This window comes from Homo sapiens, chromosome 17 (genome assembly GCF_000001405.40).
Source record: "Homo sapiens chromosome 17, GRCh38.p14 Primary Assembly".
Classification (NCBI taxonomy): domain Eukaryota; kingdom Metazoa; phylum Chordata; class Mammalia; order Primates; family Hominidae; genus Homo; species Homo sapiens.
In genome coordinates, this window is record NC_000017.11 from 1,276,512 (window position 1) to 1,301,486 (window position 24,975).

General features: G+C 55.5%; 1 protein-coding gene across 1 annotated transcript, besides 1 other annotated feature; it reads left to right on the forward strand.

Annotated features, from left to right (window-relative positions):
* Positions 1-3,150: 3,150 nt before the first annotated feature.
* On the forward strand, positions 3,151-24,467 carry TRARG1 (trafficking regulator of GLUT4 (SLC2A4) 1 (gene/pseudogene)). Its single transcript, NM_172367.3, has 3 exons — positions 3,151-3,877; positions 18,980-19,112; positions 21,740-24,467. The coding sequence occupies exons 1-3, from the start codon at positions 3,491-3,493 to the stop codon at positions 21,751-21,753; spliced, it is 534 nt and encodes a 177-aa protein (NP_758955.2). The 5' UTR covers positions 3,151-3,490; the 3' UTR covers positions 21,754-24,467.
* Positions 22,297-22,891: an enhancer, noted in NCBI's record as "H3K4me1 hESC enhancer chr17:1202102-1202696 (GRCh37/hg19 assembly coordinates)". NCBI's record gives its function as "activates a minimal SCP1, AML or CMV promoter by ChIP-STARR-seq in primed H9 embryonic stem cells {active_cell/tissue: H9 hESC(primed)}" and the evidence as "EXISTENCE:reporter gene assay evidence [ECO:0000049][PMID:30033119]".
* Positions 24,468-24,975: the final 508 nt, after the last annotated feature.

The following is a 24,975-nucleotide window of genomic DNA, read 5'->3' on the forward strand; positions in this document are numbered from 1 at the left end:
GCTCACGCCTGTTATCCCTGCACTTTGGGAGGCCGAGGTGGGCAGATCACCTGAGGTCAGGAGTTCAAGACTAGCCTGGCCAACATGGCGAAACCCTGTCTCTACTAAAAATACAAAAATTAGCCGGACGTGGTGGTGGATGCCTGTAATCCCAGCTACTCGGGAGGCTGAGGTAGGAGAATCGCTTGAACCCGGGAGGCAGAGGTTGCAGCAAGCCTAGAGCCAAGATCACAACACTGCACTCCAGCCTGGGCAACAGAGCAAGACTCTATCTCGTGAGCCACCGTGCCCAGCCTGAAACCCCAATTTTTATATGAAATGAATTTTTAAAATCATGTGTTGAGGCCGGGCGCGGTGGCTCATGCCTGTAATCCCAGAACTTTGGGAGGCAGAGGCGGGTGAATCACCTGAGTTCAGGAGTTTGGGACCAGCCTGGCCAACATGGTAAAACCCCATCTCTACTAAAAATACAAAAATTAGCCAGGCGTGGTGGTGCATGCCTGTAATCCCAGATACTCAGGAGGCTGAGGCCGGAGAATCGCTTGAACCTGGGAGGCGGAGGTTGCAGTGAGCCGAGATCGCGCCACTGCACTCCAGCTTGGTGACAGAGCGAGATTCTGTCTCAAAAAAAAATTTTTTTAATTTTCTACTAGGCACATTTTTAGAACGTAAAAATAAGCAGATGAAATCAATAATGTTGATTTTAATAACGTTTTATTTATCCCAATATATCCAAAATATTATCCTTTCAATATACAATCAATAAAAAGTATTAATGAGATATTTTCCATTCTTTTTGTGTTTGGACCCAGTTTTCGATGTCTTGTGTGTATTTTACATCTCAACTTGGATGAGTCACATTTCAAGGGCTCGGAAGCCACATGTGGCTAGGGGCTACCGAATTGGGCTGGGTAGCTGTCGTCCCTCCACCCAGGGGTCAGCTCCAAGGCTGTACCATGGCATTCTGCCCAACTGGATACCGGCTTGGAGCCTAAGGGGTCTCAGGGACCCACCTAGCCACCCTGTGAAGGAGCTTTCCTGTTATACAGGATTATCGTATTTCTGGACGCTCATAAGCAGGGGAGCCCAGCTCGCTCCCAGGCCCCACACCTGGCCTCCCTGAGGACTGAGAGGAGGACGAGGCGGCTCCCCAAGGTCTTCATTTTGCAAATAACAATGGGTTTCCTTTATTGAGCACAATTCTCTCTCTCTCTCTCTTTTATTTTTTTGAGAGGAGTCTCACTCTGTCACCCAGGCTGGAGTGTAGTGGCATGATCTCCACTCACTGCAACCTCTGCCTCCCGGGTTCAAGCAATTCTCCTGCCTCAGCCTCCTGAGTAGCTGGGATTACAGGCATGTGCCACCACACCCAGCTAATTTTTGTATTTCTAGTAGAGACGGGGTTTCACCACATTGGTCAGGATGGTCTCAATCTCCTGACCTCGTGATCTGCCCACCTTGGCCTCCCAAAGTGCTGGGATTACAGGCGTGAGCCACCATGCCCAGCCTGAGCAAAATTCTTAATTTAATATAGTCAAATTTATGAAACCTGCAAAGTTCTCCCAAAGCCACAAACATTGTTTTTTATTTGTTTGTTTGTTTGTTTGTTTTTAGTTGGAGTCTCATTCTGTCACCCAGGCTGGAGTGCAGTGGTGCAACCTTGGCTCACTGCAACGTTCGCTTCTTCCCAGGTTCAAGTGATTCTCCTGCCTCAGTCTCCAAAGTAGCTGTGGTTACAGGCACCCACCACCACGCTAATTTTTGTATTTTTAGTAGAGACAGGGTTTTGCCATGATGGCCAGGCTGGTCTCGAACTGCTGACCTCAAGTGATCCACCTGCCTCAGCCTCCCAAAGTGCTGGGATTACAGGCATGAGTCACCGTGCCCGGCTGAGTTTTCAAATCTTATTCATTTCCAGGTGTCCTTTCAGCCCCATATCTCCCACTGAGCTGTGCGGCAGGATCTCGGCTCACTGCAGCCTGGACCTCCCAGGCTCAAGCGATTCTCCTCCCTCAGCCTCCCAAGTAGCTGGGATTACAGGCATGTACCACCACGCCCATATATTTTTTGTATTTTTTGTAGAGATGGGATTTTGCCATGTTGCCCAGGCTGGTGTCAAACTCCTGGGCTAAAGCAGTCCTTCTGCCTCGGCCTCCCGAAGTGCTGGGTTTATGGGCATGAGCCATGGCATCCCGCCTGATCGTAGGATTTTAAACTATTTCATACAACCACTTTCAAACCACACACACACATCCGTGGCGGCTCCAGATCACACTTGTAAAACAATGTAAGGAGGGGCGTCAGGAATATAGAAAGAGATGCCGAGGATAGAGAAGAAGGCAGAGACAGAGGGAGAAAACCTAAGAGAGAACAAAGGAGGAGAATCCGATAGGACAAACAGCCTGAGGCCCTTCCGAGCTGGCATCTGCCCGGAGCAGCTGACCTAGGGGCTCTCTGCCACCGGCTCTTTAGCACCCCAGAATCGTTCTGATGGGCATGAGGTGGACCCAACACTCCCCCTTATCCTCTTCCCCACCTGGTGGTGAGCTACGTAGAAACCTACTCATGGGGCCCTGCTGGTCCATGCAGGGTCCAGGCAGGATCCAGGGGCTACCCTGGTGCTCACATCTCCCCTTCCCTTCTGGAGTCGGGAGCCAGGCTTTGGCCTGGATGCTCCCAGCGGTTGGGGGTCAGGGTCTGGGTGGGATGTAATAGGGGGCCCTAAGGTCCAGCATTTCCCAACAGAAAGAAAGAAGTACACGCTTGCTTTGGAAGAAGCAGCGGAGGGCTCAGTTCCCAGGACAGCTGAAGACACATCCCTGTGGGGCCCAAAGTGTCTTTCTCCCCATCCAGAGACCCTGCCCAGAGGAGCAGGCCCTGGAGCTGCAACAGAAACCGGAGGCTGGCCCAAGTCCCTCTGGGCTGGGCTGGGCTGGGCTGGGCAGAGCTGGGCTGGGCTGGGCTGGGCTGGGGCAGAGGCAAAATCCTGCCAGGGTGGTTCTCTGGGGAGAGGGGAATTGAAAAGGAAAAGCATCACCAAGGAGGGGGAGAGGGAGGGAGGCCGTGTGCGCACACGCACACACACACACACACACACACACACACACACACAGCCTCCCTGACTGAGCCTGAGCCTCCCTGGGAAGAGGCGCATTCTTCTCTCTGCTCTCTGAGCTTTCCGTTGCTTCCCTGCCCATCTGTGCTCTCAGCAGCACCAGCAAAGTTGGCCTCAAACTTGAACAAAGCTGCAGGCTCCAGCGTCTTTCTGGGAGCTCCGCGGGGGCAGCAGGCAGGCCCCAGCCTCTGAACTCAGCTGGCTTGAGAAGCTCAGCCCAACCCTTCCAGCACCCAGCCGGCCCTCCGTCTCCTGAGGGACGCCCCTGCCCCCGACCTGGAGGCCCTCAGTCTGGGCTGGGGAATGGCGCGCTGAGGTCCCTCCAGAGCCCCTTGTCCCAGCCTGGAGCTGCAGCCGCGCAAGGCCCAGGCCCCCATGGCCCACCCGGTGCAGTCCGAGTTTCCTTCAGCACAGGAGCCAGGCTCCGCCGCATTCCTGGACCTGCCGGAGATGGAGATACTCCTCACCAAGGCAGAGAACAAGGATGACAAGACCCTGAATCTGTCCAAGACCCTCTCGGGGCCTCTGGATCTGGAGCAGAACAGCCAGGGCCTACCCTTCAAGGCCATCTCCGAGGGGCACCTGGAGGCCCCACTGCCTCGGTCCCCCTCCCGGGCCAGCTCAAGGAGGGCGTCCTCCATCGCCACCACCTCCTATGCCCAAGACCAAGAAGCCCCCAGAGATTACCTCATCCTGGCCGTCGTCGCCTGCTTCTGCCCCGTCTGGCCCCTCAACCTCATCCCCCTCATCATTTCCATCATGGTAAGTGCTGGTCTTTGTTCCAGGGGCAGGGGCTGGGCCCAGGGGTCGGCAGGTGTTTCCCCCAGGCAGGCACCAAACACTGCCCAGGGTGTGGAGAAGAGAGAGCTGGGAGTGGGGGGCTTGGGGAAGACTCCTTTCCTCACTGGCCTCCTCCTTCCTCTTAGAGAGGGGCCCCGGGGCTGGAAGAGCTCCTGCTCTGTTCTCTCATCTCTGCTTCTGGGCATCAGAGCTCGACTTTGCACCTGTGTCTGCTGGGGAGGGGCCCTCAGGGAGCTGCCTGGCGATACATCCCGCGGGGCAGAAAGATAGCCAGGCTGGGGGTCTTGCTGTTTTAGGAGGGACGGGCGGTCCCAAAGGGTCATCGCCAAGTGGGGCTGTCTCAGCAGAGGTTGCACCGGACGGGGGTCCCAGCGCCCATGTGTCCTCCCAGGCCACCTGGACATGCTCCCAGCCTCTGCCGGCTCCGGTTTCCAAGAGTCGCAGCGGCTTCCCTGCCGTACCCTGAGGGCTCCGGGGCCAGGCTCCCCCGAGGGGCGCACAAAGCGGGGAGAGCTGGCAGACTGCTCCTCCCGAGGCGTGGAGTTCCCTCCGGAGCCCTCTGCAGCTCCACAGCTACGCTGACTTCAGCCTCGTCTTCAGGGCAGGGGAGGTCTGGGTCACAAGTGAAAAATGTGAGAGTCAGAGGGCATGGCCTGCCATGCCCAGGAAGGGGCATGGGGCCGGGTCTGTACTTCCATGGGATTTTGAATGAATTGTCTTAGATTGTCTCCAACCCAAGCCCTTTGGGTAGAGCTACTTATAAAGGATTCCATAGAAAATGTCAGCAGATATTGGCAAGTGACTTTTGAAGTCCAGGAAGAAGCGAGAGTTATGAAAGGGTGGGGAGAGGGAGAAGCAGGGCTCAGCAATGATTTCAGAGTGAGGTCAGGGGCAGGGGGTAGAAAACTGCTGGCCCAGGCTGGTCAGGGCCAGAGGACTAGGTGTGGAGGGGGGTTCCCAAGAGTGACTCCCTGCAGAGTCACCATCACCGAACCCCCAGGAGCTGTCCTCTGAGAAAGCTCCTATTTCTTCAAACCACTCTGTCTACCTCAGGGAGGCCCAGTCTCCCAGCAGGGAAGCCTTCCCCATCCCACCAAAGCCAGTACTACCTTTCAGGACATCAGGGGGCACTGGCAGCCTTCCTGAGTCTGAGGGACTTGGCATGGGCTGTGGAAGCAGGGCCGGGCAGGGGCCTTCCGGGCAGCTCTCTGTGATGCCTGCTGTACCTGGGGACCGCTTGCAGGTAAAGCCAGGACCCAGGGGTGCAGCCAGTGGCTGTGGGCAGGGCCTGCCTCTTGGTTACAGGGAAAGGCCCCAGGAGGGGAAACTGGATTTGGGGAGGGAAGCTACCCAAGGGCTCAGGAGAAAACAGCTGCTGGAATCCATCTCCTGGTGGGGTGGCAGGGTGCAGGCTGGGCAGGACCTGCCTCTGACAAACAGAGCCTAAGCCCAAGGCAATGAGACCACAGAACCTGCCCCAGTGAGTTTCTATATATACATATACATACATGTACATATATGCACATACATGTACATATATGCACACGTGTACATATATGTACATATATACAGATATACACATATGTACATATACATATGTACATATATACACACATATGTACACATATGTACATGTATACACATATATACATATATGTACATATATACGTATATGTGTACACATAAATGCACATATGTACATATACACGCATATATGTACGTATACACGTGCATATATGTACGTATACACGTGCGTATATGTACGTGTACACGTGCGTATATGTACGTATACACGTGCGTATATGTACGTATATGCACGTATATGTACGTATATGTACATATATGCACGTATATGTACATATATGTACGTATATGTACATATGCGTATATATGTACATATATGTACGTATATGTACATATGCGTATATATGTATATATGTACGTATATGTATATATATTTTAAGACAGAGTCTTGCTCTGTCACCCAGGCTGGAGTGCAATGGTGCGATCTCGGCTCACTGCAACCTCTGCCTCCCAGGTTCAAGCAGTTCTCTTGCCTCAGCCTCCTGAGTAGCTGGGATTACAGGAGCCCACCACCACACCTGGCTAATTTTTGTATTTTTAGTAGAGACGGGGTTTTACCATGTTGGCCAGGCTGGTCTTGAACTCCCGACCTCGTGATCCACCCACCTCGGCCTCCGAAAGGGCTGGGATTACAGGTGTGAGCCACTGAACCTGGCCTGTTTCTATATTCTTTAAAGGTTTTGTTTTGTTTTATTTGAAACGGAGCCTCGCTCTGTCGCCCAGGCTGGAGTGCAATGGTGCGATCTTGGCTCACTGCAAACTCCGTCTCCCAGGTTCATGCAATTCTCCTGCCTCAGCCTCCCAAGTAGCTGGCATTACAGGCGCTGGCCACCATGCCTGGCTAATTTTTGTATTTTTAGTAGAGACGGGGTTTCTCCATGTTGGTCAGGCTGGTCTCAAACTCCTGATCTCAGGTGATCCTCCCACCTCGGCCGCCCAAAGTGCTGGGATTACAGGCAAGTGCCCACCACACTCGGCCCCTTTTACGTTTTTGAGTCAGGTGTGATGAATACCAGGCTGGGCACAGGGAATACATTGCTAACCAGACACTGTTGCCAATTCCCCAGAACCTCCAGTCCGGCAGGAAGGAACTCTTAAACAGATTCTTATGACATATTTCCAGAAGTGCCCGTGGTAGACATAAAGTTAAGATAATGAGCTGGGAAAGTCATTCAAACGGCTCTTCTCCCTGGCATTCCCATCTGCAAAATGGGTATAACCTCAATGCCTGCACGAGAGAGCCGTGAGGGGGTGAAATGAGACGGGCCACACCCAGTGCTTCAGAACAACACCAGGAGGGTGTGGGGCTCTTACAGGATAATGGGTACGTAAGTGGCAGCGGGGAGCCTCCCGGGGGAGGCAGGAAGCCATCCTGGTGTTTTAGAAATGGCTTTGTTGAGATATAACTCACATACCATATGATGCACCCATCTAAAGTGTATTCACAGACAGGTGCAACAACCGCAGTCAATTTGGAACATTTGCCTCATCTCCAAAAGAAACCCTGTACCCTGGCCGGGCGCAGTGGCTCATGCCTGTAATCCCAGCACTTTGGGAGGCCGAGGCGGGTGGATCTCCTGAGATCAGGAGTTCGAGACCAGCCTGGCCAACATGGTGCAACCCCATCTCTACTAAAAATACAAAAAAATTAGCCAGGTGTGGTGTCATGTGCCTGCAATCCCAGCTACTCGGGAGGCTGAGGCAGGAGAATCACTTGAACCCTGGAGGCAGAGGTTGCAGTGAGCCGAGATCCAGCCACTATACTCCAGCCTGAGTAACAGAGTGAGATTCTATCTCAAAAAAAATAAAATAAAATAAAGGGCCGGGAGTGGTGGTCATGCCTGTAATCCCAGCACTTTGGGAGGCCGAGGCGGGCAGATCACGAGGTCAGGAGATTGACACCATCCTGGCTAACACGGTGAATCCCCATCTCTACTAAAAATGCAAAAAATTAGCCGGGCATGGTGGCAGTGGGCGCCTGTAGTCCCAGCTACTCAGGAGGCTGAGGCAGGAGAATGGCGTGAATCCGGGAGGCGGAGCTTACAGTGAGCTGAGATGGTGCCACTGCACTCCAGCCTGGGCGACAGAGCAAGATTCTGTCTCAAAAAAAAAAAGAAAGAAAGAAAGAAAGAAAAGAAAGAAAGAAACCCTGTCCCCTTCAGCTGTCACTCTCCATCCCTGCCCCTCCCAGCCCTGAGCAACCACTCATCTCCTTTCTGTTTCTCTAGATCTGCCTATTCTGGACATGAAATGATAAATGGAATCATACAGTATGAGGCCTGTGTTCCTGGCCTCGTTCACTTTGCATGTCGTCTTCAAGCGTCATCCCTGCCGCAGTGCCGTAGCAGCACGCTGTAGGCTTTGCAGCCGAGAGGAGTGTGGTTGGATCTCCATTTTGCTGGATCAGTCTGGGGCAGGGTGAGAGGAGGGGTTGGAGGGGATGAGGCTGGCGTTCAGCAGAGGGGACCCTCGTAGGAATGCAGGCAAGAGGCGAAGAGGCCAGGACCAGGGCCAGGGACAGGGCCAGAGGTGGCTCTGAAACCCTCTAAGAGTGGGTTGTACCGACCATTCATTCATTCAGTCGACTTGAACAGCAAGTTGCTTGTGTTGAGGGAACTAAGTAGTAGAGGACGGTCAGGCCCCTGTGAATGAATGTGCCTCTTTTATTTATTTATTTATTTATTTTTGAGATGGAGTCTTGCTCTGTCGCCCAGGCTGGAGTGCAGTGGCGCAATCTCAACTCACTGCAAGCTCCACCTCCCGGGTTCACGCCATTCTCCTGCCTCAGCCTCCTGAGTAGCTGGGACTACAGGCGCCCGCCACCACACCCTGCTAATTTTTTGTATTTTTAGTAGATACGGGGTTTCACTGTGTTAGCCAGGATGGTCTCGATCTCCTGACCTCGTGATCCACCCGCCTCGGCCTCCCAAAGTGCTGGGATTACAGGCGTGAGCCACCACACCCGGCTGAATGCACCTCTTTTATGAACCAGGCACCGTGTTGGCATTTGGGAAGCAGATGGATGGGATAAGTAGACGGTCTGGCTGACATGGCAGAAGGCTGCAAGGGGTGTGATGGGAGAGGGAGGCAGCAGGGACTTGCTTAGGAATTTAAGTTCTGGCTGGGTGCAGTGGCTCGTGCCTGTAATCCCAGCGCTTTGGGAGACAACAAGTGGATCACTTGAGGTCAGGAGTTCGAGACCAGCCTGGCTAACATGGTGAAACCCCGTTTCTACTAAAAATACAAAAAATTAGCCAGGCGTGGCGGCACACACCTATAATCCCAGCTACTCAGGAGGCTGAGGCAGGAGGATTACTTAAACCCGGGCGGCAGAGATTGCAATGAGCCAAGATTGTGCCACTGCACTCCAGCCTGGGCAATAGAGCAAGACTCCATCTCAAAAAATTAAAGAGGGCTGGGCTCAGTGGCTCACACCTGCAATCCCAGCACTTTGAGAGGCCAAGGCGGGTGGATCACGAGGTCAGGAGTTCAAGACCAGCCTGGCCAACATGGTGAAACCTCATCTCTACTAAAAATACAAAAATTAGCCGGGCGTGGTGGCGCACGCCTGTAATCTCAGCTACTCTGGAGGCTGAGGCAGGAGAATCGCTTGAACCAGGACTCGGGAGGCAGAGGCGGAGGTTATAGTGAGCTGAGATTGTGCTACTGCACTCCAGCCTGGGCTACAGAGCAAGACTCCATCTAAAAAATGGGAAGGGAAGGGAAGGGTAAGGTCGAGGAGGGGAGGGGAGGGGGAAACTGGAGCCACATCAGAGAGATGTGGGGGTCTCTAACATCTAGGGGGAGGGCCGAGGGGAGTGGACAGAAAAGTATTTTGAAAAGGAGATTCCAGGAGGTGGAAGGAAATCTTGGAAAGGGGCAGAGACACCCAGGGAGGAGAGAGTCTGAAGGAGGGAGCGGCCAGCTCCGAGGCCGCTCAGGTTCAATGAGCATGGAAGCATCCACTGCCTTGGCCACGCATAGATCCCTGGTGACCGGGGGATGGAGGGGCCTTGGCAAAATGGGAGGGATGATGGATGAGCTGAGGTCCTGGAAGCAGTGGAGAGATGCGATCCAGAGCCCAGGAAGAAAGACACCCTGTCCCTGGCAGCCTGAAGGAGAGGCCGTGAGGGCAGAGGCCGATGGAACTGCTCAGAGGGAAGGGGCTGGCTCACGCTGCACGGCCACCAGGCCTCCAGGGATGTGGGTCCAAGGTCGTTTGCTAAGAACTAGGGGCCTGGTGGCAGCAGGGAGGGGAGGTGACCAGGCACAGACAGGCCAATGGCCCAAGGCCTCTGCTGAGGCTGGAGACCACAGATGTGGGGTGTTGTTGGCCTGTGGGGTGTTGCTGTCGGCCTGTGAGGTGTTATCGGCCTGTGGGGTGTTATCGGCCTGCGGGTTGTTATCAGCCTGTGGGGTGTTGTTGTCGGCCTGTGAGTTGTTATCGGCCTGTGGGGTGATGTTATCAGCCTGTGGGGTGTTTTTATCAGCCTGTGGGGTGTTATCGGCCTGTGGGGTGTTGTTGGCCTGTGGGTGTTGTCAGCCTGTGGGGTGTTGTCAGCCTGTGGGGTGTTATCGGCCTGTGGGGTGTTATTGGCCTGTGGGGTGTTGTTTTCGGCCTGTGGGGTGTTATCGGCCTGTGGGGTGTTGTTATTGGCCTGAGGGGTGTTATCAGCCTGTGGGGTGTTGTTGGCCTGTGGGTGTTGTTTTCGGCCTGCGGGTGTTGTTTTCGGCCTGTGGGGTGTTATCAGCCTGTGGGGTGTTATTGGCCTGTCAGGTGTTATCAGCCCGTGGGGTGTTGTCGGCCTGTGGGGTGTTGTTGTCGGCCTGTGGGGTGTTGTTGTCGGCCTGTGGAGTGTTGTTATTGGCCAGCCGGGTGTGATTTGCTCCAGCTGTAGGTGTAGGTTCCCAGACATGCATATCAGGTCAACCCAAGTCTGAGGATGGCAGAGTTGCTGTGAGAGCAGGGCCAGGTGGTGAGGAGGATGCTGGTGAGGTGGCTGAGATGACACATCGAAGGGTTGGGCTGTGCTGGGAGGGAGCGAGGCCAGGAAGATGGTGATAGACTTGGAAGAGAAAAGGGGCCATGGGCTGAGAGAAGACAAAGGGCATGAGAGGGTGAGAGGGAAGTTGGGAGTTGAGTTTCAAAGGAGGAATCAGGTCAGGGGATGGCAAAGGGGTGGAGTGTAGTTGTGGAAATGAATTTCTAAAGGGAAAAATCAGTAGCCAGGGAGGAGAGAGTTGAGGGAGCCCAGTGTTGAGGGCTAATATTACTAATACTCACTGAGTACCTACTAAATGTTAGGTACAGTTCCAAATTCTTTTTGTTGTTATTGTTGTTTTTGTTTTTTTTTGTTTTCTTTTTTTGAGACAGAGTCTCGCTCTGTCACCCAGTCTGGAGTGCAGTGGCACAATCTTTGCTCACTGCAAGCTCCGCTTCCCAGGTTCACGCCATTCTCCTGCCTCAGCCTCCTAAGTAGCTGGGACTACAGGGGCCCACTACCACGCCTGGCTAATTTTTTGTATTTTTATAGTAGAGATGGGGTTTCATTGTGTTACCAGGATGGTCTCAATCTCCTGACCTCGTGATCCACCTGCCTCAGCCTCCCAAAGTGCTGGGATTACAGGTGTGAGCCACTGCGTCTGGCCTGTTGTTTTTAAGACAGAGTCTCGCTCTGTCACCCAGGCTGGAGTGCAATAGTGCGATCTTGGCTCACTGCAACCTCCACCTCCCAGGCTCAAGTGATTCTCCTGCCTCAGCCTCCCGAGCAGCCGGGACTACAGGCATATGCCATCAAGCCCGGCTGATATTTGTATTTTTAGTAGAGACAAGGTTTCACCATGTTGGTCAGGCTGGTCTTGAACTCTTGCCCTCAGGTGACCTCCCCGTTTCAGCCTCCCACAGTGCTGGGATTACAGGCGTGAGCCACTGCACCTGGCCCTCTCATCCAATTTCTAAGAACAAGAGTGCCCTCCCCACTCTGTCCACAGGCCATCCCTGAACTCTAGTCCTGACCTCAGCCTCTCTCTGTTGCCCGGGGACATCATGGCACCCATCACTCCTCAGTCTCATCCCCCTTCCCTCTTTGCAGCTCTCTTCCTCTCCCGTCTGGAAGAAACCCCTTTTATCCACCCGGTTGTATTTGCTCTGCCATCACCTATTCGCTTCCACTGCTGAGCTCCTAAGAGCTGCCTCCACGTGCTGTCTGAGCTTCATCCCCCACCAGCTCCCCATCCCCCACGGGCTCCTCATCCCCCTCCAGCTTCTCATCCCCCACCGGGTTCCCCATCCCCCACGGGTTCCCCATCCCCCACGGGCTCCTCATCCCCCACGGGTTCCCCATCCCCCATGGGCTCCCCATCCCCCATGGGCTCCTCATCCCCCACAGGTTCCCCAACCCCCACAGGTTCCTCATCCCCCACTGGGTTCCCCATCCCCCACGGGTTCCTCATCCCCCACGGGTTCCCCATCCCCCATGGGTTTCCCATCCCCCACGGGCTCCCCATCCCCCTCCAGCTTCTCATCCCCCACGGGTTCCCCATCCCCAATGGGTTCCCCATCCCCCATGGGCTCCTCGTCCCCCTCCAGCTTCTCATCCCCCACGGGTTCCCCATCCCCCATGGGTTCCCCATCCCCCTCCAGCTTCTCATCCCCCACGGGTTCCCCACCCCCCACGGGCTCCTCATCCCCCACCGGGTTCCCCATCCCCCACGGGTTCCCCATCCCCCACGGGCTCCCCATCCCCCACGGGTTCCCCATCCCCCACGGGCTCCCCATCCCCCTCCAGCTTCTCATCCCCCACGGGCTCCCCATCCCCCACGGGTTCCCCATCCCCCACGGGCTCCTCATCCCCCACGGGTTCCCCATCCCCCACGGGTTCCCCATCCCCCACCAGACTCCCCATCCCCCACGGGTTCCCCATCCCCCACCGGACTCCCCATCCCCCACCGGACTCCCCATCCCCCACGGGCTCCCCATCCCCCACCGGGTTCCCCATCCCCCACGGGCTCCCCATCCCCCACGGGTTCCTCATCCCCCACGGGTTCCCCATCCCCCACCAGACTCCCCATCCCCCACGGGTTCCCCATCCCCCACCGGACTCCCCATCCCCCACCGGACTCCCCATCCCCCACGGGCTCCCCATCCCCCACGGGCTCCTCAACCCCCTCCGGCTCCTCATCCCCCACGGGTTCCCCATCCCCCACGGGCTCCTCAACCCCCTCCGGCTCCTCATCCCCCACCGGGTTCCTCATCCCCCACCGGGTTCCTCATCCCCCAGGGGCTCCCCATCCCCCACAGGCTCCTCATCCCCCATGGGTTCCTCATCCCCCACGAGTTCCCCATCCCCCACCAGGTTCCCCATCCCCCACTGGTTCCCCATCCCCCATGGGCTCCTCAACCCCCTCCGGCTCCTCATCCCCCACGGGCTCCTCATCCCCCACCGGCTCCTCTGAAACCTCCTGCCAAGGGTAAGCATGACCAGCATTGCCGATAGTTCCATATTTCATCCTTATCTTGCTTGACCTATGCCGGACACGGCACTGTCAGCCACTCCCTCCTTCTTTCCCATCTTGTGCTTCCCAGATGCTGCCCCTCCCACCCTCTCCCACTCCTCCTCAGGCTCCCTTGCAGCCTTCTTCTCCCCAGCACCCCTTTATTTATGAGTCAGTGTTCCCCACAGTCCTGTCTGTGGACCTTTCCTCTTTCCATCTGCCCCTGGATGGCCTCAATTGCATCCCCGTGTGACGACTCCTGCATGCTGGGACCGGTTTATCCAAGTCCAGCTACATACTCATGGCACCCCGCACCTCTGCCCAAATACAAGTCCAAACACTGCACGGCCCTCTTCCTGAGTCCCAGCTGGAGGAAGGGCACCTCCACTCATCCAGCACCCAAGCTGGGAACCTGGGAATCATTCGAGTCACGTTCCTCCCAGCACCCAAGCCGGGAACCCCGGAATCGTCTGAATCATGTTCCTCCCAGCACCCAAGCCGGGAACCTGGGAACTGTTCAAGTCCTGTTCCTCCCCCATACTCCATCTCATCTTTCACCAAAACCCATGGATTCTATCTTCAGAACTTCTCAAACCTGAACTCTTTTCCAATTCTCTACTTCCTTCCAGTCTTTGAAACTGTCTGCTCTCAATCTCCACCCCGTACTCTACACAGTAGTCAGAGAACATTCCTAAAATGCAAATCTGATCCTGTCCCAATTAATATCCTTCACTGGCTCCCTGTTCCTGCAGGACAAAATCCCGACTCCCTTATGTGACAGTCAGGGCCCTTTTTGTTGTTTTGTTTTGAGATGGAGTTTCGCTCTGTTGCCCAGGCTGGAGTGCAATGGCGTGATCTCAGCTCACTGCAGCCTCCGCCTCCCAGGCTCAAGTGATCCTCCTGCTTCAGCCTCCCGAGTAGCTGAAGCTACAGACACATGCCACCACGCCCGGCTAATTTTTGTATTTTTTGTAGAGGTGGGATTTTGCCATGTTTCCCAGGCTGGTCTTGAACTCCTGACCTCAAGCAATCTGCCCACCTTGGCCTCCCAAAGTGCTGACATTACAGGCGTGAGCCACTGCTCCTGGCCGAGGGTCCTTGTTGATCTGGCGTTTTCCCCCTCCCCAGTTGCTTCTTGTACCACGCCCACATCATGGTCTGTGCTCTGCCCCCATCTCTTCGTCTGTAAAATGGACTAATCGCAATCCCTGCCTCACTGGAGTGTTAGGAAGGTGATATGGCTTGGCTGTGTCCCCACCCAAATCTCACCTTGAATTGTAGGCCCCATAATCCCCTCGTGTCCTGGGAGGGACCCGGTGGAGGTCATTGAATCATGGGGGTGGTTACCCCCACGCTGCTGCTCTCGCGATAATGAGTGAGTTCTCGCGAGATCTGATGGATTTTTTTTTTTTTTTCTGAGCCAGAGTTTCGTTGTTGTGGCCCAGGCTGGAGGGCAGTGGCACAGTCTTGGCTCACTGCAACCTCCACCTCCCGGGTTCCAGCGATTCTCCTGCCTCAACCTCCCAAGTAGCTGGAATTACAGGCAGGTGCCACCATGCCCCGCTCATTTTTTTGTATTTAGTAGAGACGGGGTTTCACCATGTTGGTCAGGCTGGTCTCGAACTCCTGACCTCAGGTAATCCACTCACCTCAGCCATGCAATGGTGTGATCTCGGCTCACTGCAACTTCCGCCTCCCGGGTTCAAGTAATTCTCCTGCTTCAGCCTCCTGAGTAGCGGGGATTACAGGCACCCGCCACCGCGCCCAGCTAATTTTTGTATTTTTAGTGGAGACAGGGTTTTGCCATGTTGGCCAGGCTGGTCTTAAACTCCCGACTTCAGGTGATCCACCTGCCTCGGCCTCCCAAACTGCTGGGATTACAGGCGTGAGCCACCGCGCCTACCAATCTGATGGTTTTATAAGGGGCTTCCCCGTTTTGTTCGGCACTTTTCCTTTCTGCCGCCATGTGGTGAAGGACGTGTTTACCGCCCCTTCCGCCATGATTGTAAGTTTCCTGAGCCTCTCTGGCCATGCTGAACTGTGAGTCAGTTAAACCTCTTTCCTCTATGAATTACCGAGTCTAGGGCATGCCTTTATTAGCGGTGTGAGAACGGCCTACCACAGAGGATGAATTGTTCTAACAGGTGGCAGAATTTGGCATCATACCTAGCACGAGATACACGTTCAAAGAGTGCCAGCGTTGTTTATTCTCCTGGCAGAGCTGGAGGAATCTTGGTGGGCTTCACAGAGGAGGTGGCCTTGGAGCCACCCCTTGAAGGATGGAGGGATTTGGACATATGGTGCTTTGGAGAAACAGCCAGAATAAAGCCCTGTGGAGGTTGATACTCGAACCTCAAGCAACTCAGACTGGCTGGGCCCAGTGGTTGTGGAAGAAAATAGTGGAGGATAAAACAGGAAATGTAGGCCAGGCGCGGTGGCTGGGATCACCTGAGGTCGGGAGTTCAAGACCAGCCTGACCAACATGATGAAACCCCATCTCTACTAAAAATATAAAATCAGCCAGGCGTGGTGGATGCCTGTAATCCCAGCTACTTGGGAGGCTGAGGCAGGAGAAATGCTTGAACCCGGCAGGCGGAGGTTGCAGTGAGCCGAGATCTCGCCATTGCACTACAGCCTGGGCAACAAGAGCAAAACTCCATCTCAAAAACAAAACAAAACAAAACAAAACAAACAAACAAAAAAACAGGAAATGTAAGCTGGCCTGCATTTGGACTTCGTTCTGTGGAAGACGCTGAGCAGCTGGGATGGCCTCAGCCACCATCATCTCACTGAACCTTTGCAACAGCTCCCGACTCACCTCCCTGCCTCCCCTCTGTTCCCCACACTGCAGACAGAAGGGTGTTTTGGAAATCCGTATCCAGTCCTATCATTCGGGACTCACGTCCTACACTGGGCCCCGCTGCTCATGGTATAAGGACCACCCTCCTTCTGGTGCTGCTCGAGCCCTGCCTGGCCTAGCCCTGCCCACCTCTGTGCCTCCCCATCCTCCCTCCATCAGCCCCAGCAACGCTGACCTCCGTCCAGTCCCTCCTACCTCCTCAGTCAGCGACTGTTTTTTGAACATCTACACATTTGCCATGCAGCACCTTCGCACATGGCTGTTATCTCTGCCTGGGATACTCCTTCCTTTGGAAACAAACAATCTAATTCTTGCTCATCCTTCACATCTCAACTCAAATGTCCTTCCTCCAGGAAGTCTTCCCTGATTCTCCCCTTTCACGAGTTCTCCTGGTATCAAGTGCCTCTCCTTTGTCATGCCACCCACCACAGTTGCATTTTTACCTTTCTTCGTGTGATCACAAAGGAGGCCAGTGGGCCAGAAGTTCTGTGGGCACAGGAGCCGGGATGCTCCTCCGCGCTGCTGCGTCCTGGGGTCTCACACAGGGCCTGTTACAAATACAGACAGTGTGAATCGGGGGCGTGGGGAGAGGGTGAAGAAGAACAGAGACTGGTGCTGGGGAGATCTTTGAGAGGAAAGAGGCCGGGCACAGTGACTCACACCTGTACTCCCAGCACTTTGGGAGGCCAATGTGGGCAGATCATGAGGTCAGGAGATCGAGACCAGCCTGGCCAACATGGTGAAACTGTCTCTACTAAAAATACAAAAATTAGCCGGGCGTAGTGGCGGTCACCTGTAGTCCCAGCTACTTGGGAGGCTGGGGTAGGAGAGTGGCTTGAACCCGGGAGGTGGAGCTTGCAGTGAACCGAGATTGCGCCACTGCACTCCAGCCTGGGCGACAGAGCAAGACTCTGTCTCAAAAAAAAAAAAAAAAAAAAGATAGTGGTGATGCTCCTGCTTTGTAACAGAGGGCAGAGGAGCCGTCACGGAGAGGGAGGAGCGGAGCTCAGGCTACGGCAAGGAGGAGGAGGAGAGGTACAAGGCGTGGGTTGGGTTTGATGATGTCACGAGTTGAGTTTGATGATGTCGTGGGTTGGGTTTGATGATGTCGTGGGTTGAGTTTGATGATGTCGTGGGTTGTGCTTGATGATGTCGCAGGTTGGGTTTGATGATGTCACGAGTTGAGTTTGATGATGTCGTGGGTTGGGTTTGATGATGTCGTGGGTTGAGTTTGATGATGTCGTGGGTTGTGTTTGATGATGTCGCAGGTTGGGTTTGATGATGTCATGGGCTGGGTTTGATGATGTCATGAGTTGAGTTTGATGTTGTGGGTTGAGTTTGATGATGTCACAGGTTGAATTTGATGATGTCACGCTGTCCCAGACGGAGCTTGGAATGGAAGTGCAGGGCTGGGTGCAGGCTGGTCAGAATTTTGAGCAGTGAAGAGAACAGGACCCCAAGAGGGCACCTGCAGAGAGAGAACACAGAGAGGGAGGGGCACAGCTCTGACACTCAGTTTCTTCCTCAGGGAGGTGGGGCTGCATTGCCAACCTCCTAGGGTGATTCTGAGGCTAAAGGAGGTAATCTAGGTACAGTCCTTAGCAAGCTGCCTGGCATGAAGTAAAATCATCATCATCGTCTTCTTCTTTGTCATCATCTTCATCACACTTAACTGCATTTCCATGTTGAACTCAGGAGCCTCAAATAATCAGAAAATAAAGTAACCAAGGACTTCTCTGAGGCCCTGAAATCAGCCACACCATCAGAGGACTCCTGCGTGTGCCTGTTCTAGGGAGGGAGGGACACAGGACCCTTAGAGATGCTTGGGCTCCACCTCCTACCAAGTCATCCCGGGACCCTCCTAGGACCCTCTCTGTCCCCACCCTCATCCGTTTTAGCCGTTGAACTAGGTTCAGGAAGAACAGAGCTCACCGAGGAGTGATACATAAAACAAGGCCCCCGTGAAGCCACATGACTCCACCCAGTCCTGGTCTCCCCAGGCAACCACGAGGCCATTCATTCTTTTGTGTGATCCGGGAAGTGGGCTTGATTGAACGAGGATGTGGTTCTTGGGTGGGAAATGGAGGCTGTGAAGACAGTGTCTTTTTTTTTTTTTTTTTTTGAGGCAGTCTCACTGTGTCACCAGGCTGGAGTGCAATGGCGCAATCTTGGCTCACTGCAACCTCCACCTCTGGGGTTCAAGCAATTCTCCTGCATCAGCCTCCTGAGTAGCTGGGACTACAGGTGCACACCACCATGCCCAGCTAATTTTTGTATTTTATTAGAGACGGGGTTTCACCGTATTGGCCAAACTGGTCTCAAACTCTTTTTTTTTTTTTTGAGACGGAGTCTTGCTGTCTCCCAGGCTAGGGTGCAGTGGCACAATCTTGGCTCACTGCAACCTCCACCTCCTGGGTTCAAGCGATTCTCCTGCGTCAGCCTCCTGAGTAGCTGGGATTATAGGGGTGCACCACCACGCCCAGCTAATTTTTGTATTTTTAGTAGAGATGGGGTTTCACCATGTTGGTCAGGCTGGTCGCAAACTCCTGGCCTCATGATCTGCCCGCCTCAGCCTCTCCAAGTGCTGGGATTACAGGCATGAGCCGCTGCGCCCGGCTGACAATGTCTCTTTTTATGGAGGCAGGGGTGGGGGGTGCTTACAGAGGAGAGGAGGCCAGCGTGTCAGGCTGTAGGAAGAGCCCAGGGGCTGTCTTGGGATCCCAAAGCCGCTGCAGAATTGAGGCTTGCGCTGGGGTCCGGGGGCACCTGGCCTGTCTGTTCTTGCCAGTTGGCCTGGACCTGGTCCACCTTCTCAGGCCCTCGGTCTCTAGCCTGCCACCGCCACCTCCTCCACCGCCCTGAGAAGAAGTGCCAGGCTTTGCTGGGTTCTGCTCCCAGCTGTCCCCAGCTGGTGAGGGACAGGCGTGGTTAGGGGTCTGCACAAGAGGCCCTGGCCACTTCTCCGGGGACAGCCCTCTTCCTCTCCCCTAGAGTGTGGGCTGCCATGGGGACGGGATGTGTCTGGAGGCCCAGGCTCAGGGCCACCCCAGGGCTGCCTGCTGAGGCCCATGAAGCTGACCCACAGCCTTCCCGGTTCCCGGGGTCTCTCTGTGCTCTCTCCGCAGTCTCGAAGCAGCATGCAACAGGGCAACGTGGACGGCGCCCGGAGGCTGGGCCGCCTGGCTCGGCTGCTCAGCATTACCCTCATCATCATGGGCATCGTCATTATCATGGTGGCCGTGACCGTCAACTTCACAGGTGAGACCCAGCTCCTTGGAGAGGAGGAAGCCAGCTTGCCTGGTGTGAGGACTGCTCAAGGGTGTACCCAGCCTCAGGGGCAGAGGTGGTGGGTTGGGGGAAGGAGAAGGGCTGGTGGGGGCCCCGGCCTTATCCTCCCAGTCCATAAAGTGCCCCAGTTCCCAGGAGGGACCAGATGAGTGGGGATGGGCTGGCAGACTTGTCTTATGCCCAGAGAGTGAACTGATGGAAAGGGTGTGGAAAGTGCACAGCCTCGGAGTCAGAGGACAGGAGCTCCAGCTTCAGCTCTGATGGGCCTGGGACCAGGGTCGGTTCCTGACTAGCTGAGCCTCAGTGTTTCCTGGTATCAAGTGGCAGGAAAGAGCCTCCAGCAGAGGCTTTTGTGAGCATCACCCGAGATAAAGGACGTGACTGTGCTTTGTAAACACTAAAATCCCTGCAGTCAGCCGGGGAACCCCAGAAGCAAGCAGTGCATATGGTAGAATTCAAAAAGTAGGTGACCCTTCTGTGGGCACCCATAGGTGGCCCGGTGAAGTCATCCAACCAGGGGAAACATTTTTTATTATTTTGTATTAATTAACTTTATTTTTGAGATGGAGTTTCACTCTTGTTGCCCAGGCTGGAGTGCAGTGGTGCGATCTCGGCTCACTGCAACCTCCGCCTTCCGGGTTCAAGTGATTCTCCTGCCTCAGCCTCCTGAGTAGCTGGGATTACAGGCACCAGCCACCACGCCCGACTAATTTTTGTATTTTTAGTAGAGACGGTTTCATCATGTTGGCCAGGTTGGTCTCGAACTCCTGACCTCAGGTTATCCACCCACCTTGGCCGCCTAAAATGCTGGGATGACAGGTGTGAGCCGCCACGCCCAGCCCAGGGGAACCATTTTCTCTTTCTTTTTTTTTTTTTGAGATGGAGTCTCATTCTGTTGCCCAGGCTGGACTGCAGTGGCATGATCTCAGCTCACTGCAACCTCCACCTCCCAGGTTCAAGTGATTCTCCTGTCTCAGCCTCTCGAGTAGCTGGGCTTACAGGTGCCCACCACCGCACCCAGCTGATTTTGTATTTTTAGTAGAGATGGGGTTTCATCATATCAGTCAGGCTGGTCTCAAACTCCTGACTTCAGGTGATCCTCCCGCCTCAGCCTCCCAAAGTGCTGGGATTACAGGCGCCTGCCACCACGCCCGGCTAAGTTTGTATTTTTAGTAGAGATGGGGTTGCATCACGTTGGCCAGGCTGGTCTCGAACTCCCGACCTCAGGTGATCCACCAGCCTCGGCCTCCTAAAGTGCTGGGATGACAGGCATGAGCCACCGCGCCTGGCCCAGGGGAACCATTTTCAAAGGTGACTCTCTGCTGTTCAAGAAACCCATGCAGCTTGGTGAGGTGACTTTGGGGGGTCATCCGGGTCTGAACTGCCGATTTTCTTCCTTTCATACACGTACATCAGGAAGTCCCCAAGGATCTCTGCCCATTTCAATGAACCCTAAGCTTTTCCCCTAAAGACCTCGCTGCTCAAACTGTGCTCCCTGGACCTGTGACGGGATTATCGAGGAATGTGTCAGAAACGCAGAACTCCAGGCTCCATCCCTGAACCGGATTGGAATCTGGACTTTAATAAGACTCCCAGCCCAACCGTCAACGTTGGGAGGCACTGGTCTAGAGTGTGGGGTGCCCAACTTGAGCTTGGGACCGAAAGCCTGGGGTTCAGCTGTGGGGCCGCCAGCAACCTTGGCCACTTAGGAGAGGGAAGCGTTCGGGTTTGGAATCAGCGTGCCCAGCTTCAGAATCCAGGTCCCACACTTTCTCACTGTGTGAATTGGAGCGTGTGTGACAGTTTCCTCCATGAGTGAGTCTGATTGACATGCAGGTACATGCAAGGCAGGAGCCCACCAGCCCAGGACATTAGCCTCCGTCTCACCAAATGACGCCTTGGTCTCCATCCTGCTGCTGCTTGTTATTTTAGCCAGGACTTTTTTTTTTTTTTTTTTTTTTTTTTCCCCAGACAGAGTCTTGCTCTGTCGCCCAGGCTAGAGTGCAATGGCACAATCTCGGCTCACTGCAACCTCTGTCTCCCAGGTTCAAGCGAATCTCCTGCCTCAGCCTCCTGAGTAGCTGGGAATACAGGCACGTGCCACCACGCCCGGTTAATTTTTGTTATTTGTAGTAGCGATAGGGTTTCACCACGTTGGTCAGGCTGGCCTCGAACTCCTGACCTCAGGTGATCTGCCCGCCTCTGCCTCCCAAAGTGCTGGGATGACAGGCGTGAGCTGCCGCAGCCGACCAGAGTGGTGCACATTTTAATCAGTCCAGTAACTAAGCAGGGAAAGAAGTCTCAACAGTTAGATAGCAAAAGTCTCAGGACTGATTCAGATTGGCTCAGCTAGGGTTGCATGCCCACCTCTGACCCAGTGCCACCTGAGCCAGTCACTGAGGCCACAGTCCTCTTACTGGCAGGAGTTCAGTTACTCCAAGAGCTCCAAACCAAAGAGGTTCCCAAGCCTTAGCCTTCTCCCCTTATCCCTATTACCACTTCCCACTGGGAACCAGAAACCCAAATCCTCCAGTCAGGGACTTGAAGAGCCAGTGTTCTGAGCCCTGTTCTGCCATATCTGTTTTTTTTCTTTACAGTTCAGAAGAAATAAACTTAAGCAGGGAGCTGGGCTAGCAGAGGCCGGCCCTGGCCATCGGGAGAGCTCTGACCTGCACACCGCGGGAGGCCAGGGTGCTGACTGTCAAGCATCCCCTGTCCCCAAGTTCCAAAAGCACAGACTCAAAGGGAAACCCCCCAGTCACCCACTGTCAGCCCCCATCTGACAAGAAAGCCTGGAGCGAGGAAGGAAAGCACAGCGAACCCAATGGGTAACGTGGTTTACTCTCCCGGACGCGTCCTGGGATCTCAACCCCAGCAGTCTGGCTTGTTTCTCATTCCCACAATTTCCTGGGTTCCACCAAGCAGCGAAAACTGCCAGGATGAATGAGGAAAAAACCCAGCCCCACAAACGAGACACACGCTGGCGGGGAGAGACGCAGCAGAGCTCCTTCCTGTCTGTGGACTCGGAGCAAAGACGTGGGGCCCCATCTTTTGTGTTTTCCTCAAGCGGGGAAAGAATGGACTGTTTGCATGCTTCGTGCCACACGCCCGCGGTGATCCCAGCCAGGGCCCCGAGCGCAGAGGCGGAGCTGTGCTCAGCACAGGCCTGGGACCTCCCCCGGCAGGCACCTGTGGGGGGTGCAGCTCCCGGGAAGGAGGCAACTGCCTCACTTAACATCCTCCGCTGCAAGGTGGTGGCGCCGAGAGGCGTGTCTGTGAAGACAGGTACCAGGATGGCAGGACCCGCACGCCTCTTCCCACACCTGTCAGCTTCGGAAGCATCTCTCGAGGACTCTGGTCCCAGGATGTCTCCCAGGACAAGCCAGTCTGCCTCTTCCTCCTACTTCTGCTGTAGCCTGGGACCAGACCTGGCCAAGGTCAGCCAGCGGGGAGGGCCGAGGTCTGAGCTCTCGTCCTGCCGTGGCCCCCGCGATGGCCTGGGGTGCAAGCTTGGGGCTCCGTCTGGTGCTGCTTAGGTAGTTTCAGGCTTCCAGCCCAGCCCTATGCTCTGTGCTTGGCCCTGGGCCCCTGGCCATCCACAAACAGCAGAGGCCTTCCCTGGAGGAGGCTTTGGGACCACCCCTGGGGGGACTTCCCAAAGGGTCCCAGGCTGTCAGGGGCGTTTGCGCCACCTGCAAGGGCGTGGGTCAGAGAGTTTTTATGGGGGTCTGTTGTTTGACCGTCCTGAGACCGAGGGAAGGGCTCAGCTGAAGGACCCCGTCTGCAGGAGAGTCGGGGGACCAGGTTTGGGAATACACTTGCATGTACAGAGCCTGGGGCCTGGACGCCACGGCCTCTCATCTTAGGACCTAATGGGACCCCCGAAAGGAGCCAAGTGGGGCCCTCGGCCTCTTCCTTCGTTCCAGGCCCATGATTTTCCCTACACTTCTCCCTGGCCCAGGCTCCAGCCACAGGCACCTCTCCTGCCCCCGCCCACCCTCCTGACCGCAGCTCCCAGGCCCTGGAGACCTCCAGGCTTTCCTGCCCTGGGCAGCCCCACCTCACAGCCAGAGTCAATGCCTTCATGGGAAGGGCTCCCAGCCACACCCAGAGTGGCCCAAAGCTGTTGAAGTCAGCATCCTTTGTCCCATCAGGACCCTCCTGCCTCCTCTCCAGGCCCTTGTTCGCCTCCCCACCCTCCTCAGAGGCCCGGGGAAGGGAAGAGCAGGTCAGTACAGAGGTTCTGTCTACAGGGAGGGGCCCTGGGTCTATGCACAGCTGGAGCTCTGAGCCTTCCACAGCCCGTGTGACTGCTAGAGGGCAGGGGTGCAGGGCTCAGGGGGCCCGGGCTGGTCCTTTGGGGCTGGTGTTCCTACGTCAGTCCCCACCTGGGGAATAAACTCCAGCCTCTCCTGCTCATACAGAAGGGACTGGTTGGGTTTGCTTTATGGGATCTTTGAGACCAAAACAGATGCTCCTGTTTGCTGGGGGAGGGTGTGAGCACGGAGTATTTCTGTCCCTCGTGAAGTCACGTCACACAGGGGAGAGGCGAGGTCGATGGAACTGGCCACGCACAGGCTCTGGCTCTGGAAGGAGGGATGATGAGTGGGCGTTTTCCCGGCAGGCCCCCGGGGTCCTCAGCCTCAGCAACCCAGGGAGAGGACAGAAACGAACCGATGGTTGAGGGATTGTCACGGGAGGAACATGACACCCGAAGGGACTCTAGGTGCCCTCGGAGTGCCACACATGCCCAGACCTTCTCACACCCACACAAATAGGCTCTGCCGTGCACTCCTACACACACACACACACACACACACGCTTGTTCACACTCAGAACCCAGGACAGCCACAGCCACCGCTTAGGGGAAGCCACTGCAGATGCCCCTGGAATGGGCACAGCACAGCCAGGGCGCTCTTCCAGGCAGGCGAGGATAACTTGAGAGTTTCCTAGGGCACCAGGGACAGAGCTCAGAGGCCCCCGAGGTGTGTGTAGGAGGCGGAGGCCCGCAGAGCACAGAGCAGGAGAAGGGCTTGGGCCCTGGAGGAGAAAGCCATTCTGGACACCAGGGGACCTGGACGGAGGGTCCCCACAGCCCGTGCCCCACGCCGCCTGGAGGCCAGAGGGGTCAGTGGCCCTGCTGTCCCGGCTCCATCTTGGTTCTAGCCGCCACCTGCATGAACACAGTGGCCCGGCTTAACGCACTAACCCAGCCTCTCCCTGTGTCCCACAGGGAGTAGCAAGACCCACCCCACACTGCCTTCACCATCTACACCAGTGACGCCGCTGTGTGTCTTAGCATGGAAATAAATAAACCTGAATGTACGTGCTCGCCTCTGGCCTGTGTGTTTGTGCTGCTGGGGTCAAGGGGGTTCCAAACAATCCGGGGGTGAGCAGTCCACTCCGCCTGTGGCCCCAGGGTCAGGCTGAGGCTGCGCACTGGGAACCTGGCACATCGGGGCTCCGTGGCCAACTCAAGGCGTTCCTCTGGGCAAGTCACTTGTCCACTCCGGGACTCAGTTTGTCCAACTGTAAAATAAGTGGTAATGCCAGTCTCATCTCCCTTCAGTCCTTTCTGCATAGATCTCAGGCCTGGAGAGAAGAGGGCAGGCAAGAGTTCGAGACCAGCCTGCAACATGAGGAGACTCTGTCTCTAGAAAACATTTAAAAATCAGCCAGGCGTGGTGCTGCACGCCTGAGGTCCCAGCTACTCAGGAAGCTGAGGTGGGAAGATCACTTGAGTCAGAGAAGTTGGAGCTGCAGTGAGCTGAGCCATGTTCCTGCTCCTGGCTCCCAGACCTCCTGGGACAGTCCCTAGACCACCAGGTTCCCC

Bases quoted from the DNA above. Each gene is read 5' to 3' on its own strand.
- TRARG1 (NM_172367.3), top strand. From the start codon at position 3,491: ATGGCCCACCCGGTGCAGTCCGAGTTTCCTTCAGCACAGGAGCCAGGC. The intron at 3,878-18,979 runs GTAAGTGCTGGT...CTCTCTCCGCAG, and splicing joins CCCTCATCATTTCCATCATG to TCTCGAAGCAGCATGCAACA.